The sequence below is a fragment of the Homo sapiens genome, chromosome 4 (genome assembly GCF_000001405.40).
Source record: "Homo sapiens chromosome 4, GRCh38.p14 Primary Assembly".
Classification (NCBI taxonomy): Eukaryota; Metazoa; Chordata; class Mammalia; order Primates; family Hominidae; genus Homo; species Homo sapiens.
In genome coordinates, this window is record NC_000004.12 from 93,503,297 (window position 1) to 93,523,498 (window position 20,202).

General features: G+C 36.5%; 1 protein-coding gene across 17 annotated transcripts in view; it reads left to right on the plus strand.

Annotated features, from left to right (window-relative positions):
• The window catches only part of GRID2 (glutamate ionotropic receptor delta type subunit 2), a 1,506,491-nt gene that overhangs the window by 1,199,331 nt on the left and 286,958 nt on the right, over window positions 1-20,202 (plus strand). For all 17 annotated transcript variants that reach the window (NM_001440459.1, XM_024454024.2, NM_001510.4 and 14 more), the window contains one exon: window positions 11,920-12,115. In NM_001440459.1, coding sequence (NP_001427388.1) covers window positions 11,920-12,115 — 196 coding nt within the window. The remainder of the gene's footprint in view (window positions 1-11,919; window positions 12,116-20,202) is intronic.

Below are 20,202 nucleotides of genomic sequence, written 5' to 3' on the forward strand. Positions count from 1 at the left end.
TTCTCCTACTAAAAAATAAGGCAAATTCTTTTTATTTTATTATTATACTTTAAGTTTTAGGGTACATGTGCACAACGTGCAGGTTTGTTACATATGTATACATGTGCCATGTTGGTGTGCTGCACCCATTAACTCATCATTTAGCATTAGGTATGTCACCTAATGCTATCCCTCTCCCCTCCCCCCACCCCACAACAGTCCTCGGTGTGTGATGTTCCCCTTCCTGTGTCCATGTGTTCTCATTGTTCAATTCCCACCTATGAGTGAGAACATGCGGTGTTCGGTTTTTTGTCCTTGCAATAGTTTGCTGAGAAGGATGGTTTCCAGCTTCACCCATGTCCCTACAAAGGACATGAACTCAAACCACTTTGCACTTCAGTTTTTCGTCTTTTAAAAAAGTGATCCAATTCTTCGCTCACTGCACAAATATTTGTTCCACAGTTTGAATGATGTTATTTTCCATGTCCCTTCAGGCATAAACTTTTATATCAACTATACCAATGAGATATCTTAATAAACAAGGTGTGAGATAAATTTAAAAAAAATATTTATTTTGAGAAATTCACAGACCTACTGGACTGAGAAGAGGAATGTATCTTTTGCATTTGGAAAATGTTGAGTTATCAGTAGAAACTTGGCCCCCTGTTCCTGTGTTATAAAGAGCCAGGATTTTTGGTTTTTGTCATATTCATTAGATACTTCACTGAAACTGTGACCTTCTACCTTACTTTGACAGTAATGTTTCACTGGGTCTTTAAATAGGCTACTAAATTAGCCTACACTTATTCATGGTAACTTATTTCTCCTAGTCTTTTATTTCCCACTATGAAATTTTTGATAGTATGATTAATGTTTTTGAGCTCCTCAAAAGATCTTATAGAGGAAAAAAATCACAAATTATTATGGATTCCTCATTTGAATTCACACTGTATTTCATTTGGGTCATTGTTTCATGTAGTATTATTATGTATTATTGTTTCAGAGCTTGTTAGTAGGCCATATGCAAGGTAGTGATCAATAATATTTCAATGTCAGCCTTGGAGGGTATATTGAATAATTTTTTTCCATAAGTCAGCATTGGTCTTGATTCTAATTAACATTTTCAATGTTAATTTGAAGTATGGAATAGGGAGTAAGCTTATTAAATATGCAGATTACTCTATATTGAGTAGGGGTGATTATTGACTAGAACTCCACTGTAAGAATGTATAAGGACCTTTACAAATAAAACAAGGTGATTAGAAGTACGATGAAGTTTAATAGGGACGAATATGTGATAATCACTCAGAGATGGAAAAAACAAACTGTATGCGTATATTTGTGTATACCTATGATAATTTCAGTATAAACCATCTGTCAATTATAAATCTGAAATGTGGCATTAGTGTTTATTTTTAAAATGACCAGAGTAACCTAGCAGCATGTAAGTTGTTCAAGCCTTGTAAAGACTACCATGACCTACTTAGAAGGTTCACAAATTATGCAAAAACTAAAATACAAGAGAAAAAAAAATGGTTTAGTTAATAACAGTCTAAAAATGGAAGTAATATATCTTATAGATAACAACTAAAATAATTTAGTATTTAATTTGACAAAGAGAAGGCTAAAGGAGGAAAATGAAAAAGAAGTGTTTTATTACATAGAGAAATATTGTACCAGAGGTGGTATGCAGGTATTGTCCATTTTCATTGAGAACAAAATAGTGTTTTCTGTGAAACAGGAGATTTTGGGGCTATGTACAAGTAAGGACTCCCTTGTGTTAAGTTTTCCAAGTCACTGAAGTATCTTATTAAAAAAAACATGAAGTCAGTTTTAGGGACTGGTTTATGTGCCTTAAGGTACCTAATCATATTATGTAATGCCTCTGGTAACTCTTTCAACTCTCTGGTATTATGATTATTTTAGTATGTTTTTGTTAACACCATTTAAAAATGTGATCCTTCCAGGGAAATTAACGGGAATTAGTGAAGTCCTTCCTGAATTTTCAAGAATATAGGAATATGAAAATCCCCTATTTCACTACTGAAATCTATTGCATTATTTGAAGATATCATCTTAACATAAATTTTACAATCATCCTATAATCAGCAGTAACATTGTAAAATGCTGACCATAAAATTTAGGATAATTTTGTATTTCTTCCTAGTGTCTTGAGATAAATAAGTATTGCAGCTTTTTTATGATATATAAAAAAGAAACTGCACATGCTTTTTACCATGCACAGGAAAACTGCAGGATAATTGAATGTACAGAATACTAGGACCTTTTATAGTGAAGATTTGCTTAATAATTTATATATTATAATATATATTTTATTAGATATCATACACATATATTAAATATAATATATCTAAAATGGCCTTTCATGGTATATACATGTATATTTATTTTATAATGTATTTATTATTAAATATTAATATATACCAAATATTTGTTTATTTAACTAATAGCCATTTAAAATAGAGAAAAGGATCATAAATGATATTTCTGTCAACACTGTCAGAGTTTTGAGGTTTGTGGTAGAAAAATACAGTGTCTGCCACATTTCAGGGTTCATGATGTGACACAATTAGTTTCTAGCTTGTAATGTGGGTCAATAAGTCAGACAAGCCAGTCAGATTTTCAGATGACTGTTCTCTTGCATCTGTATAACACCATCATTTCACAGAGAGTTTAACAATCATTTTTATTGGTTATAGCCAACAGCAGTAAGACGTGCAGCATTTCCATCTTCCCTTAGATTCTCTAAAATGGCCTGCCGTGTCCACATATCTGAACTAACTCCTAAGTTTGTAAGGAAAGTGCAGATCTTTTTAATGCAAGGGGATGTTCCCCTAAGTAGTCCATGACATCTACCCTTCCCAAGGGCATCTACTTTACATAAACTTACAATTTTACCTGTGACCATCTGACTGTACCACATGGTGGGTAGGGCTGACCCAGAATACTTTCGTCGGGACAGAGTGCAGAAAATATTCCCAAGTCTGTCAGGGTAGACTTCAGGGTCATCTGCTGGTCTGTAATCCCCACACTTTGTAATCTAATCTACCACAGGAGGACCGTGTTCTGCCAGGTAGATGTGCCCTTCTCATGAATCTTGCTGCGCACTTTTTCTAGACCAAACGCATCTTATATTCTGGTGGCTATTTAAACAGTTCTAAAAAAATTAAAATGAAATAGACACTCTAAAGGAGTTCAAACCAGAAGGACCTGAGGCTGTCTTTTATCTAATGTATTCTGTTGTGCCACATGAGGAGAGTTAGGGGGAAGATGAAAGACTCAGGACAGGAGTGGGGAAAGGGACAGAATGGAGCGACTAGAAAAGGCTGCATCATTTAGACCTTATTCAAGCATTCCACATGGAGGTGCCCATCTTCTGACCCTCCGTAAATCTCTAACCCTCTTTGTTCCTCCTATGGCACCCTCTCCATCCAGAAGGCTTCATTTGAAAAGTTCTCTCCATTTCCCAAAATGGAGTCCTAACCCTCTGCCTTGCCTGGTATCATTCTACCGTGCTGGCCTCAGACCTCAGCTTGCTCTTCCAAAGGCTTCTGCTGTGTTGAGGAGGAAGAGACTCTGGCACCATAACAGGAAGGAAGACACAGCACTTTGGTGCTGGTACATTCCTTCATTAGAGATTGCTGTCTCTGGGTTCCTCCTGAATTACCCCACACCGTGAGGAATACTTTTAGGCTATACAATCTAATCTTCTCTGAGAGAACCCTATGTCTTCCATTAACATGACTTTGACATTAATCTTTTTTAAAATAGGAAACTTAGTGCTATTAAGCTAAAAACTCTTTCCTGAGCCTACTTTCATTAAATAAGGACACCCCTTCAGGCACTAAAAATATCTTTTACAGAGCTCTTAATTATGGACCAAGCCACCTTGAAAACATCAGGAGTCCTTTTTATCCCACCGTATACTCTTGATACCTTTACATTTCACCAGACTTTACAAGCTTGAGTCTGAGGTAGTTAAGAAAACTTCACTAAGGAAAAGGAGCTACTAAGTAAGATAGGAATGTGACTTCTCAAAGAACAAGTGGCCATTGGCTACGCCGTAAATAGGAAGGTGGAAGGCTTATTCCATTTGTCCATACATAGAGCGTACATACTCTCCTTCCTCCTCATTATCTAAATATTCAACCAAGAAAAACAATCCTGAAATATAATTTTCTGTAGTAATCCTCAACATTGCCAAAGGTGACTGTCCTCGACTTGTTCTGCTGCTTATCTCAAGATTCTTTAGCTACTAAAATCATGAATTCTTTTACATATTTATAAGCATTTCAATTAAGCAATTTTCTTCACCATTTCAGTTTGCTTCCAATATTTCAGTGAAAAAATCACTCAGTTCATGTACCCCTTATCTTCTCTGTCTGCACTGCTCAGATAAGTAACTTTTTCAAGAGCAAATATTCTACTTTGTACCAGGTCCTATGTCTACCAGAATCACAGACTATACCCTCAGCTTTTTGAAATACGTTTTTTGGTCCTAATTGTTTGTGTTTTCTTTTTATTTGCCTTGCCTCTGAATTTATTTATTTTACATATGTGGCAAAATATTATGACAGGCAATTCACTGGAGGTTCAATGAAGCTTGCCCAGCTGATTGTGTTACAGAGGAAATTGCCAAATATTTCTTTAAAAATGAACAATGAGAACACATGGACACAGGAAGGGGAACATCACACACCGGAGACTGCTGTGGGGTGGGGGAATTGGGAGGGATAGCATTAGGAGATATACCTAATGCTAAATGACGAGTTAATGAGTGCAGCACACCAGCATGGCACATGTATACATATGTAACAAACCTGCACGTTGTGCACATGTACCCTAAAACTTAAAGTATAATATAATAAAATAAAAAAGTTTTAGATTTTTTATTTTGTTTTTGATTTTTTTTTTTTTTTTTGACGGAGTCTTGGTCTGTAGCCCAGGCTGGGGTGCAGTGGTGTGATATCGGCTCACTGCAACCTCTGCCTCCGGGTTCAAGCGATTCTCCTGCCTCAGCCTCCCGAGTAGTTGGGACTGCAGGCACCCACCACCATGCTCAGCTAAGTTTTTGTATTTTAGTAGAGACAGGGTTTCACCATGTTGGCCAGGATACTCTCCATCTCCTTACCTCATGATCTGCCCGCCTTGGCCTCCCAAAGGGCTGGGATTACAGGCATGAGCCACCATGCCTGGCCTTGTTTTTGATTTTTTAACTACAAATACTTCTGGTCATGATTAGTCAGCTGTAGAATGGCTAATAATATATAGTTAAAATGCTATTATTATGCCATGCTAGTTTCAGGGGAATGCTTACTTCCCAAAATGAAATATCCTTCTAGTGAAGAAGACCACCATAAAACAAGTAAGCCTCATTGATTGCTGACTGTTTTCCAGACCCTGGGCTAGATCTGGATTTCAAAGATGAAGTTTTTTAAAAATCATGGGAACCAGCAATCTATATTCTAGTGAGGTAAATAAACAAATACAATTCCTAAACACAATGCTGAAATGTGAACATATTCCAAGTGTTAGAAGAGCACTGAAGAGACAGTGAAGTTTCATGTTGAAAGGAAGGAATTCTCCAGGTAGACAGAGAAGCATCTTATGCCAAGAAGACATCTACCAAGACATGCACCTGTGATACAGCCAGGAATGAAGAAACAGTGTTTGGCTTATACTGTGAATATGAGTAAGGCAAAAGGTTGTTTCTGAGAATGGAAATAGAAAAGGCTTAAGCCAAATTTTTGAAGGAACTTGAAGGCTAAGGAGTTTAAACTGTTTTCTAAGGGCAGTGAAGTACATAGGCAGTACTTAAACAAGGCAGCAGTATGATCAGATTGCATATCAGAAAGAACAGTTTAGCTGTGCTAAAGAATGGATTAGTGGTGAGTGAGAACAGAGATAGGGAAAGGCTTAAAAATAATAGTCCAGGTAGAAATAACAAGGCTATTAGACGTGGAAAGGCAAAGATGGTGACAGATTTACAAAATTTAGGAGGTAAAATATACAGAACTTGATGAGAGTAGATGAGGTGGGGAAGTTAAAGATCCACAGGTAAGGAAGGGGATTAGCTGAGAATGAATCTAATTGATAGGAAACAAGGATACGGCAATTCCAGAAATCATAATAGAGAACAAAGTAATAGTAATCATCATAATAACATCAATAATTTTAACTACTGGTAATTGAGTGCTCATAGCTAATTACTAAGAAAAGTGTCTTATAAACAATATCTAATTCAAACCTCTAGATACCTTAATATAAAAGTATTAGTTCCTCTGCTCAATAGAGAAAGAAATTGCATTTTGGAGAAGTTTAAATAATTTTCCCAAAGATTGAAACACAAATATTTATGTTTTCACAATTCATGCTTTTAGAAACTAAGTGTTTGCTCAGTGCTGGTCAGTTGGCAGTACCTCTTGGGGATGGCCTGCCTTACCCAAGCACCCCAGTCCATTTTGTAACACTTTGACTTGCTTCTTGGGTCTAAACAACATTAATTCTCACCCTCACGGCATATTAGTTGTTCCTTTAAATGCTACATTTTGGATCACTTTTTATGCTGGAAAACTTGTCACCGCACTTCATAGGACAGCTCTCAGCTGCTACAACCAATGGACAGGCAGGCTGTTTACATGGTTGCTAATGAGCTCTCAGGGCTGTAACAATATCTGTCCTTTGACAGTTGCTGAAATCAGCATCCAAAGGAGAAAACTGAGAAGAGAATAGGGGGGAACCTAAACTGAGTTGGAGGATGCTTGTCATATACCCCTATTTGTCTCTTTTCCACTGTTAGCCCTTTTGCCTGAAGCATCTGGTGCCTATCCTATCAGCCACGTTCCATTTTTCTCCCCCTGAAGAAAAATCTCCTCTGATGTGATAACTTAAGTTGACTTGTTCCACCCCATAGAAAATGGGATTAGACTTAAAATTCCCCAAAGCCAGCTGTCAGGCCACTCTTGTCAGTTATTGATGAGCGTTCTACACAACCAGGCTAAATGTAGTTTTTAATCTTAGAAGACAAAGAAGATGGAGATGGGACAGAGAGGTTTATGAGAGTTATTTAAGTTTTATGTGGATAGTGACATCTACTGTCTTGTTAAAGGAAGATAGGAAAAAAATATAAGTGAAAGTTTACCACAGAGGGGTTACGCATTAGATTTTTTAAAAAAATAGTTGACAGTTTTAGAGATGTGTTTTTAACAACGTATTTAATATAACATTATTTCATTAATATAAAATTGTATAAATGTCCCAGAGAGTTTGCTATGAAGAAATTTATGACCATTTAGTATCATAGAGTCACACAATCTCATACTTGGAAGGGAAATCATGCATTATTTATTCTATTTCAGTGCATGAATTCTTCTTCAACAATATTTATAAAGAATCACCTGACTCTGCCAGGGGGGAAAAATTCCACAAAAAAATACCAATAGAAATTATTAAATAAGGCATTGTGGAAGGAGGAATCATCAACATCATAATCTTTATATAAAAACAGTAGAAACCTGATCAAATACTGATTTGACAGATATGCTTGACTTTAAAATCTAACCTACTCAATGTTAAAGCTATTGCTGTCAGATATATCTAATAGACTATCAAATATTTAAAAAATTTAATTGTATTATTTTTATTTTTTATTTTCCTTTGAGAGGGAGTCTCGCTCTGTTGCCAAAACTGGAGTGCGGTGGCACAGTCTCAGCTCACTGCAACCTCCGCCTTCTGGGTTCAAGTGATTCCCCTGCCTCAGCCTTGTGAGTAGCTGGGATTACAGGTGTGTACCAGCACGCCCAGCTAAGTTTTGTATTTTTAGTAGAGACAGGGTTTCACCATGTTGGCCAGGCTGGTCTCAATATCCTGACCTCAAGTGATCTGCCCACCTCAGCCTCCCAAAGTGCTGGGATTACAGACATGAGCCACTGCGCCTGGCCCCAAATTAATTTTAAATGCTTGAAAAGAGTTTCAGTGTTTATTGAAAGAATTTTACAGAAACCTAAAGCCACTCAAATTTTAAAAATTTATTTTCACAGAATTGCCTTAAATCACACAGTACCTCAGTGTATGTACTGTTCATACAAATAACTAAATATAACTTACTCGTAAGCTCTCAGTATTGTTCAGTACCCACAGGTTGATGCTAGTCTGATCAGAGAACAGTAGCAGGAATAAAAAAATAATCTCAGTCAGGTGTCAAGAAGATAAGGCTGATTAGAGCAGCAAAGCATTTTCTTTCTTTTATCATCCACCACTTAGAGCTATAGACACTCATTTTTTTACTGTGTGCATGAGTAAGACTGTGGGTTTGAGAGAAGAGACCTCAGGTCTAATGGGTTCTCAGAGTGAGCATTCACTGAGTTTTATGTGAGATATGTGGTTAGGTAGAGAAACAGAGTATACTATGAGTTATACATACTAATACTATGTTCACAGATAACACTTCTCTGGAGTACTCTAGATTTTTCCATTCCTTCTTCTTTTTTTTTTTTTTTCTTTTCTGAGAATGAGTTTTGCTCTTGTCGCCCAGGCTAGAGTGCAATGGTGCAATCTCAGCTCACTGCAACCTCCATCTCTCGGGTTCAAGCAATTCTACCTCAGCCTCCTGAGTATCTGGGATTACAGGTGCATGCCACCACATCCAGCTAATTTTTTTTTTGTCTTTTTAATAGAGACAGGGTTTTGCCATGTTGGCCAGGCTGGTCTCGAACTCCTGACCTCAAGTGATCCACCCACCTTGGCCTCCCAAAGTGCTGGGATTACAGGCATGAGCCACCATGCCTGGCTGATTTTCCCATTCCTCCTATCATCTGAGAAAATGTCTATTGTTAAAAAAGAAATGTCTGTATTTGACATGGTATATTAATGTATATATTAGATGCCTATTAATGATTCTATGATTGTTTTACATTTTAAAACAATGATTAGGCATGTCTAAATATTATACACTCAGATTTTGACCTTCAGATACAAGTTTTTGAAGATTACCATTTGTTGAATGACCTACTATATTTCCTTTAAAGGCTCATAATATAGGCTACAGCATTTCTGCTAATCTTGTTCTAAACTCTTCTTAGTATGAAAAATACAAAGTGACCGCTTGTAATAGTTACTCCCTTTCTATTTTGGGCTCCTGAAATGGCCTTTTCATTTGGTAATAAGCTATTTGTGTTCACTTCATTTTGCTTCAGTCGTTTTATTTTTGTCATCTTTGGTGCTATCTTAGTGTGCTATGATGGAACATGCTGAATCAGAAAACCTGTAATTTTTATTGCAAACATGTCTCAAGGCAAATTTATAAGTTGCAGTTGATATCAGAAACTACTAGAGGGAACATGCCTTTGTTCTAAATTACAAAATGCTCTGCTATTCTAAACTTGAAGTATGTTGAATATAAACTGCCTTTTTTGTAACACCAGGAGCTTCACATGGGCAATATATTAAGATATTCCTCTAAAAATGCATTGTGTACAAAACAACTTCTCCAGCTAAACTGTATTAAAACTCTATATTTTCAGGCTGTAAAGCTAATATTTAAGGTGAAGCTATGTCACAGAAACCTGATCATATTAAAGATCTTAACATTTGATTTCAGTTTTCTTTTCATAGAAGGATAAGAAGGAGCACTAATTTATTTAGCAGCATTTAGCCAGGGTGACTATTTGGGCAACCCATTTATATATTTAAATGAAGGCACTGAAAAAAAAACTGCACTAAACTGTGATCTCACCTCCATTAGATTAAAACCTTCTGATCATTATAGTTGAGTTTGATTGTTAGTACTGCCAGACAGCCAAGGGCCCAATCTTGTACTGGTAGGGTGTCTGGTGACCTGCAATATGGGCTTTCTCCAACTATAGACCTGCAGGTTCTAGATGATGCTGTGTACAACCATCTGGTCTTCACCTTTGTATTTATAGAAACTGAACAAACGAGTATTGTTGTTATAACCTGTGTAGATATATTCCATTCCTTCTTCCTGTGTTACCACTTTTGGGTATCCTCCACTAAACAGGGGGATATATGTTTAAAATGTTCATGTTTATAATACAGTTTTACTGATACTACTGAAAACAGCAGTAAATTGCTCTCTTGAAACAAAATTTTTGTTGTTATAATATATCAAGATAATTATGGTATGACCTACAAGTAAATGTCCACTCACTTTGTTATTCAGTTGCATCCTAGCTACATACTCATTTTACTCTTGCTTTTGCCCTCAATTATTCATTTACATTATAGCTTTAGTTTACCTTTTACAAATGGTAGAATCCGTTCAATATTTTAGAATATTCCAGAAAATTCCAGAATCGCACTTTCTCTTCAGATAGGATGATTTAAATGCATTATTTTATGCAACAGATGTGTAGAGCAAAAAGGAATTATCATGGTAGTTTCCATGGAGTAAATAATATACATCAAAAACACAAAACTCAATAAAATGCAGATAAAAGTTTGCTGAAAGTTACTATTAGAAATTGGCACAAATACTCTTCTGACAAACATGGCCCATAATGTATTGTTTCCAACACAATTTTGTACATGATGGAGATTGGTGAACTGCAAGAGTATTCCCAGTGCCTTTGCCCAATGCTACTGTTGGTTGCAAAGATCCTCAGGAAATCATTAGCAAACTCCATCTAGAAACAGACCAAAAGATCAGAGATATACATTACATGAGATTCATGGCTTATGGTTGTAGAGTTCTGTGCGCATTCGTTCTTGTTTGAAGTACAGTATAGTGTTTCAAAGCATCTGCTCCCATTCCCAAAAGTTAGTGAGTTGTAACTGTGCCAGTATCTGATTTTAACAGTATGTCAAAGGCACAGTATTTGTTCTTAAATGTCAGTCATTAGAGTTGGGCACCTACACAAATTCAATGAGTTCCAGTGGAATGATAACTGGTTCTTTAAGCTGCAAAATATAGAGAGACTCAGAAACTCAAATGGAGGGAAATCGACCACCAATTTAGAGATAGATAACCTGGGACAAATAGATACTATCTGTAACATAAAAGATTGACTTAAAAATCTTGAAGCATTATTCTGAATATGTTTTCAGCTTTCCAGAAACATGAAATGTATTCTCATCCAAATAGAAATCGCTCCCCCCACCTCCACAGTACACACACACACACACACACACACACACACACACACACAATGCTAAAGCAAATATAGCAAACGAAATATAGAAATAACAACCAGTGTCTTGCGTTGGAAATACTATGGTCTTTGAGGCTGGACAGACCCACATTTGAATTCTAGCTCTCGCACTCACTGACTATGACACACTGATCAAGTCACTTATTCTCTCAACCTCAGTCTCTTCCTCTATAAAATGGGTCAAATAATTATTGATGTGAGGCATTTCTGTGAGGATAATGTATATCAATTGTCTGACGTGTGTATTCAATAAATAATGACTATCATAACTACTAATTTTTAAGACTACATTTGACCTCAAAGCATGTTGTTTATGTAAATTCTATAATTTTATACAAATAAGCCTTGCTACGTAAAGGAATGTAGAACTAATGCTGATAACATATTGAAAGTTTTTTAAATTACTAAATTAGCATGTGATTATCTAGCAGTCTAATTTAACTTGTCTTTGATGGAATTGCTAGCTTTTTCTCCCATGAAGCTTCACAAAGAAAGCATTGCATTACCACTAGACGTTTTCACTTTTCCTTCAATAATAATTTTGTGTTCTCATAATTTGTATAAATGCCATATACCCTAACAGAAGTTTTTCTTACACATTATATCCTAATATCAGAAAACAATAAAATAAGAAAAGCAATTTGATATATGTTTCCACACATATTGCCTTTTTTTTTCTTTTAACTTTATTCCCACTTGAAAATACTCAGTAATGTGTCTCTTGTGTCTCTCTTCTCTCCCAATAATCAAGGTCTCTCCAGGACCTTTCCAAGCAAACAGAAATCCCTTATGGCACAGTCCTAGACTCTGCGGTATATGAGCATGTCCGCATGAAAGGACTGAATCCTTTTGAGAGGGACAGCATGTATTCCCAAATGTGGCGGATGATCAACCGAAGCAATGGATCGGAGAACAATGTTCTGGAGTCCCAGGCAGGCATTCAAAAGGTACTGTCCATGGTTCTCCTTTAATAGTCCTTACCATTTTGTGTCCCATGCTGGAATTGCGCAGTTGAGATTTGTTTTTTTTGTTTTGTTTTTTGTTTTTTATCTTTAATGCTGACGGCAAATTTCCTGTTACAATGCATCTTATATTGATTTAAAGAAGATTTTTTAGGGAATTCAAAGTCCTCTGTAGTGTGTCTAACAGATCAGTTTCCATTTGAATTCCAAAATCAAATACACACACTGGTATTTTGTTCAGAAAAGGGTTAAGGACTTAACAAACATGAAGTTTAAAAAAGTTTTTATAAATCCCATTCCAAATATCATTCAAGTTATCTGATTCTTTTAAATGACTCAGGGTATTTTCTACACTACACTTGTTTTTGGATTAAACCGTCATCTTTAGTTGTGATTATGTGAAGCTATCTGGAAGTAAAAGTTAATCTTGTCAACAAATAAGGTTCCTATGGATGTCTGTTTCTATTCCAAATGTGAAAATCTTTATTTACATCTTACTTTTTCTATAACTATCTATATTAAAAAGGCATAGAAAGACTGTTTTTCTTTTATGTGAAAATCTTAAGGCTATTTTTACTCTGAGCTGTAGCTTATAAACATATATACGGAAGCAATTCAAACCCTATCAACCTCTATGAGAGATCTGACTGTTTTTTCTTAAAATTATCTCTAGTGACTAGCCTAGTGAAAATCATTGTTGACATTTAATAAATAATTATGGAATGCAGGAATGAACGTCAGTAATAGCAGCAATAGTGGTATACACTTTTTCTCTCTGACCTTCCACTGCAGAATAATTTGGACTCCAAGTCTGTGTTTCCTGTTCTAAAGGCAAACTCACTAATGTCATCCTAGAGGATATTTTGATGACTATAAAAATTATTCTGTGACAGGTTCCAGCATTATTCTCTGCTTTTTCATCTGGCACCCTTTATCTGCCACTGCTACTACTATGGTCCCTAGAGTCAGCCTAGTAATTCTTGCAGTCAACATATTGATATCATTCTTCTGAGAGCTGGTGATGCTAACATAAACCTTTCTTCAAGTATTAATGATGTCTTTAAGGAAGTGAATGTCCTGGAGATGTTAGCAATGGCCTCTATCCTCTTTGCCCTTATTATACCCCATTTTCTGGGGCTCAGTTATTGATTCTAAAATATTTCTTGGCTTTCTCCAAAGAACCATTGGCTCCTGGAGTTTCAACATGGTTCTCCCAGTTAATGGGGTTCGGGTTGAGAGATGGATCCAAGTGGGTGAATGAACATGTATTTTTGGGGAAGGGAGGAGGAGGGTGGACATTTTAAGGCTTACTGGGTACTCATAGCATGTTAATGAATTTGTGTTCAGAATAAGTATACACTATGGCTTTGAGGATGAGTTATTTTCCTTTATATCATCTGTTAAAAATGAATTTGTTTTTTGATGATTAATATAAATAGAAATTTATAGTTCATATTTCTATTCCATTTTAGGAGCCAAAGCTCCCCCTGCCTTATAACCTCATTCTATACAGTATTATTGCAGAGAAATTTCATTTTATTTTCTCCCACCAGCCTGGTGTTAATGGGCACATCAATCCGGGTTTGAATCCAGCTCATTTTTTTAAATAAAATGTATAAACATAACTAGCTACTCAAAATCTCTGGGCCTTGAGAGTTGCATCATGAAGATAAGAATTCTACCTCACACAGTTTTTGTCAAGATTAAATAAGATAATATATATAAAGCATCAATAAGTAGTATGAGTAGAGCCATAAACCTTTCTCATAAGATGGCCCTGAAGATTACCTGAGACAATTTATATGTGAGGGATTTGTAATTTAAAGCTTTATTGTTTAATATTTCCTAATCTTAATGTAAAGTTGTGACATAATAAAAAGAAGAAACAATAAAAGAGGTAGATAATAATTTCTATTCTTTGTTAGTCTGTTGATAAGGAGGGCTAATGAGTTCGAAACTGCAAATCAAGTCCTCAAATATTTATTATACCATGTTGATTCAGTTTTCTGATTTACTAGAGGGCTAGTGAAAATGCTCTTCTGAATGAATTTATAATAGAAAATATCTAAGTGAAATTTGTTTGTACTATATATTTCTTTCAACCCAAATTAGAAACAGCTGACAATTGATTAGACAGAGAGCAGCTAATAATAATACGATGTATTTTGGTTCAAGCTTACAAGGTCTTGGCCAGCTTCTATTAAAAAAACAACCAACAAACAAATAATAACCTTTTCACCTGATAAAGTTCATTGGAGTTTCATGAAATTGAGAACTATGACACATGGAATGTGGTTGTGGATTCTTATTCAAGAAACTAGTCTTGAACATTTCACACAGCAGCTTTTTATTCTCTGTCATTGATTTCTAATTTATACAGGCAGATAAGACATCAGAGGTCTTTTAGGTCAACATTTCACAAAAGGCCACACTTCTTCTATAATATCTTGGGCAAGAATCCATATATATATATATGTATGTGTGTGTGTATGTATATACTATATATGTATGTATATACATACATGTATATGTATGTATATACATACATGTACATGTATGTATATACATACATGTATATGTATGTATATACATACATGTACATGTATGTATATATACGCATATACTATATATGTATATAGTATATACATATATATATACACACACTATATATGGATATATATATAGTAACTGCCTTCCAGGAAGGCCTGCATCACTGAGAAAAACAGTCCTCACAATCTATAACTTTAAATAGATTCCATTAATGTCTCAGTCTGTATTTGTTCTTAATTGTGCTACTAGTCTCATTAAGTTTCTCTTACTCGAAGGTAGATACCGATCTCATCTACCATCTTGTTTCGGCTTGTACCAAAGAAATCTGTGTAAATGAGCATTAAGTCGATGAGTTCTGATTTGCTAAACTTGGTAGCAAACTACCCTAAGTAAACTAGACAAATTTTTTTTTCTGCCTTGCTTTAACCAAGATCTTTTGCATAAGTAGAAAAAATATGATTTTTAAAATGCAGCTGAATTTTTTATGCATTCATTCAACAATTATTTATTGAGCACCTTCTATTTGTCAAGCAGTACATTAGTCACTGGGATGGACAGAAATGAAAACAAATGCCTTCATGGAGTTTGCATTATAGTGGGTATAAACAATAAACAAAATAAACAAGCTCTGTGGTATGTTCAGTAGTGAGAATTGTTAAGGAGAAAAAATAAAGTAGGAGAAGAGGATGGGAAATACCGAGAAGCAAGGTAATCTGCTTTATTAAATCAGGTAGCCAGGGAAGGCTTCACTAAGAAAATAACATTTGAATACAAACTTTAAGCAGGTTGGAGAGGGGAGAGTATGTGTACGTCTGAGTAAAGTGTTTTTAGAAAGAGGGTCAGCCAGTACAAAGGCCCTGAGGTAGAAGCATGCCTAGATGTTCCAAGAATATGAAGGGGGCCAGTATGGATTCAGAAATAAGGGATAATATCAGAAGTGCAACAAGGTCAAGAGGTAAAAGATCTGGAGGTAGAGAGCAGATGAATCATGTAGGGTCTAGCAATGCAAAGTATGGTCCTGTGGACTAGCAGTGTCTGCATCACGTGAGAGCTTCCTAAAAATATAGACTCTTATGCCCCTATCCCAGCCTTTCTAAACGTGAATCTCATTTTAACAATATCCATAGGTGGTTCATATGCATATTAAAGTTTGAGTTGTGCTAACACAGGCTGTCTAGAACATCCTAAGTTGGCTTTTTCTCTGGTGGGATATCAAACCTCAGGAGAGTTTTGAACTGAAGAGCAACATGATAACATATTTTGGCAAATCATATGACTATTGTGCTGAAACAAACGGAAGATGGCAACATGGAAGCTGGAAGCCAGTTAGGAGGCCATGATGGTGACTCAGCAACATTCTGAAATTACACCATGGGAAGTTCATTTCTCTTAAAACGCAAATACATCTTAAAAGACTATGACTTTGAGTAGTTACTGGCATTAGCACCTTAGTGGAATTTAGTCTATTAGATTATTTTAGATGGGCCTAGGACATAAACAGATACAGCTTCTGAGAGCAGTTGTAGAAACTTCCAGGTGGCAGGTAAGGATCTGACCAGAAATCAAGGATCATGTGCAGCACTAAAATAGGGAAGTCCCTGATTATTATGAGGGCCATATTCACTTCCCATTAATCTATTATAACTCTTGGGGAAAAACAAATCATTCTAGAATCTCAGCATAGAAGACCACTAGAGAAGTAAATAAAACCAGGATTGGTAGGATTTGTAAGTGAATAATACTTCAGACTATGAAGTTCCAAGGGGATGTACACTCAAATGGATACCATAGTAACAGGGAAGTCGGTGGTGGTGCCAGCACCAGCAGTATTCATTCATAAAGATAGCATTAATGTATAGGCTGTCTGTCCACAGAAGTCCAAGAGCAATATGGGGAAAGGGGTGCTATTACTGGGGGGAACTCACAAGCTCCAAACTGGGCATCAGGGCTGCAACCAAGCCACTGGACTTCAGGGCCTAGCTCTAATCCTAGCTGGAAAACTGAAGTATTAAAATGGAAGCCAAGGCAAAAGATTAGTCATAACAATATGGGCCAGTGTCATGGGTTTTAGAAGACTGAGGAAGGAAGACAAATCCCAGACCCTAAGAACTAGTGAGTAAGCTTACCCCAGTTTTATTCAGCTCTGGCTGAAAAATTCAGTGGACTTGAACCTGCTATTTTACATACTCATTCAACACATATTCAGTGAATACCTATTGTTTCCAAGTCTCTGTTCTAGGCATTAGAAGGTGTAATAGAACAGGTAAAGTTCCTGCCTAAATGGAGATTATATTGTAGTGAAGAGAAGATAACAGACAAGCATAAATGTGTGCTCTAAAGAAAAACTGGAAGGGTAAGAATGGAAAAAAAAAAGCAGATCATGAAGAGGATGTTGCCATCCCACATTGGGAGGTTGGGAAATACTTCTCTGAGAAACTGATGTTTGAATGGAGACCTGAAAGAGGACAGGGGGTGAACCATGCATATAGTTTGGAGAGAGGGGACAGGAAGTGCTCCAGGCAGAGGGAATGCTCATTACAAAATTCCTGAGGCAGAAGCTAGCTTGGCATACTGGAGAGAAATGTCAAGAAGATCAGTGAGGTTGGAGCAGGTTGCACAGAGAGGGGGTTAGGGGATGGAGAGGCAGATGGATATGATCAGAGTGGGAGGTGGGCAGGATGGAGGCCATTGAAAAGGCTGATGCTTGGGCCCCACTAAAGTCCAAATTGTATCTTAATTGGTAAATGGAAGGCAGCTAAATTTCTCACATTCCTCCAAGTGATTCTGATTCACAATAAGGGTTGACAATCACTGATATAATATTCTATGAGTGATTTTAATGACCTTAGTTACTCTGAGATGAGAAACCAGTGCAGAGTTTTGAGCAGAAGAGTGACGCAACATAACTTTTTAAAGGTCCGCTCTAGATGCTGTGTGGAGACCAGGGGGCTCAAGGGTGGGAGCGGGGAGCTTAGTGAGGAGGCCACTGTAATAATCCAAGTGTGACATGAGGCGGGGGTGGACCAGAGTGATTATGGTGAAAGTGATGAGAAGGGATTAAATTTAAACATATTTTGAAGGTAGCACTGACAAGATTTTCTAAAAGAGTAAATGTGGGGTGAAAAAGAGGAGTTAGGGATGACTTCAATATCTTTGGCTTACGTAGGTGGAGGGATGGAGTTGCCATTTATTGAGATTGAGAAAACCATGACAAGAGTAGGTTTGATAAGTCAAATGAGAATTTGTCTCTGGCATGGTAGTTAATATGAAATGCTTACTCATTACGCAGGCAAAGTTTATATTTAAGGCCACAAGGCTGGATGTGGTCACTGAGGATATGAGTATATCTGGAAAAGAAAAACATATAAACACAATTTAATATTTAGAGGAGGCAGAGACAGAGAGGGCATAACAAAGCATCAGGAAACTATCAGCTAGTGAGGTAAGATGGAAAACAAGAGAGAGTAAGTGGTGGTTTAAAAACCAAAAGAAAAGAAGAATTTCAAGAAGTTCAGAGGATCAACTGTCTGTCAAATGATGCTCATGATAAAGGGTGATGAATGCTAAAAATTAATTTTAGTTTTGGAAACCAGCAGTCACTGGTGACCTGACAACAACAGGCCTGGTAGAGTAGAAGAAGAGATTAGGGAAAGATTAGAGAAAAGAAAAGAAGTAAAAGAGAGGATGTGGAGATTATGAGACTAGAAAGAAGAGATTATGAGAACCAGGTACTGGAAAAAAAATGCCTGTACAAATAATCGAATCACCAAGAATAAACACAGAACTAATATTTGAGAGAGTGACAGAGAGCCAAGTGATAAAATCTTCAAGCCACGTTGGAGGAGTGACACTGGTAACTGTAGTAAAACTACAAGGAGATACTATAGCTCTTTTTAAAGGAGTAACTCCTTTTTAAAGAAATTTTGCTGAAAGAAAATGCTGAGTAATGAGAGGAGTTTCTGGAGTAGGATGTCAGGTTTGGGGAAATTTTTTACGAAAGAAGACATATACAGTATCTGTATATTGATGGGAGTATGCAATAAAGAGAAGGAAACCCATAATACAGGAAAAAGACTGCAGTATTGCTGGAGAACTTTCTTTGATTAGGAGATAAGTTATGGCATCTTAGTGCACAGGTAGACGGTTTGGACTTAGAAGCACAGTCCATCCATAGTAAGAGGAGAGAAGGACATAAGTTAGAAGATGTGGTGGTGGGAGCATAAGGAAGTTCATCCTTGACTGCTTGTATTATATTTAAACCAAAGTCATCACCAAAGTGTAAGCAGCAGGGCAGAGATTCTGGAGATTTGAAGAAAGAGAAAATAGGAATGGCTGTCCTGGAGAATCAAAGAGATAGTAAACTACTAAAATATAATAAACTTTCTAGACAAGACTGAAGGGGTTTGTAATCGGTGGTCATGACTATAAATTGGGACCAGTCAGCATGATTGTGAGTATTTGTCTAGCCATCATCTTCAGCTGACTGAGCATAAGTGCAAAGTCCACAAAGAGTATATTTCACCAGAATTAGTGTTTCCAGAAAAGTATGATAGAAGATAATAGGAGCAAGAAAGGAAATTAAGAGCACATGCAAAAAAAACATAATTATTGTTATGAATCATGGAATCTGTGCTATATAAAAGGAAAGTGATGATACAAGGGAATTGAGGATATGAAAAGGGTGGCAGGAACAATGCATTGCGGGCCTAGATGGGACTGGAATTCTTGGAATCAGCAAACAAGAAGGATAAAATTGGAAGTAACATGAAGCTTGTTCTGAGATGACACGTTTGAAGTTGAAATGATGAAGAGAATACAGTTATTGAAATTGATGACAAGGGATTTGGTAGCTCAGGTAGTAGAAAAGACAAAATCTTTGGAGAAGAGGAAGACTTGAGACTGAAAAAGAAAGTACTGGAAAGAGATGCTTATGTGAATAATCAAATCGCCAAGAAGAAACGCAGAACTCCTATTTGAGAGAGTGACAGAAAGCCAAGTGATAAAAATATTCAAATAATGTTGGAGGAGTGTTGCAGGGTCAGTTAGTGACCACTCAGTAACACTGAGTGGCAGGTAGTAAAGTCTGATAACATAAGCTTCAAAGCTGGAGAATTTTCGGGACAAGGGTCTAGAAATGGTTTGAGGGGCAAAGAGGATACCAACACTGGATCCTGTCCCAGTGGTATGAGTGTTGTAGCAGAGAAAAATAATCACCACAAGACCACAGGCAATGCAGTATCCCCAGAAGATAAGTACATTCTACTTAGCAAAATAAAGTAAAAGGAAATTTCAAAAAACAAATGGAGGTTATAGGTAAGGTGATTATTTTTCCTAGTTTGCTTGGGACAGTCTCGATTTTGCCACTTGTCCCAGTGTTATTAACTGTATTCCCACTCACTCTCAAGAGTATTACCATTATGACAACAAATTATGTGACCTCCCTAGATACACACATCCTGCTGATAATAAAGTTTCATAGAGCAGAGTAGAAGAACCTGGAGAGTTGTAGAGGAATAGGAAAA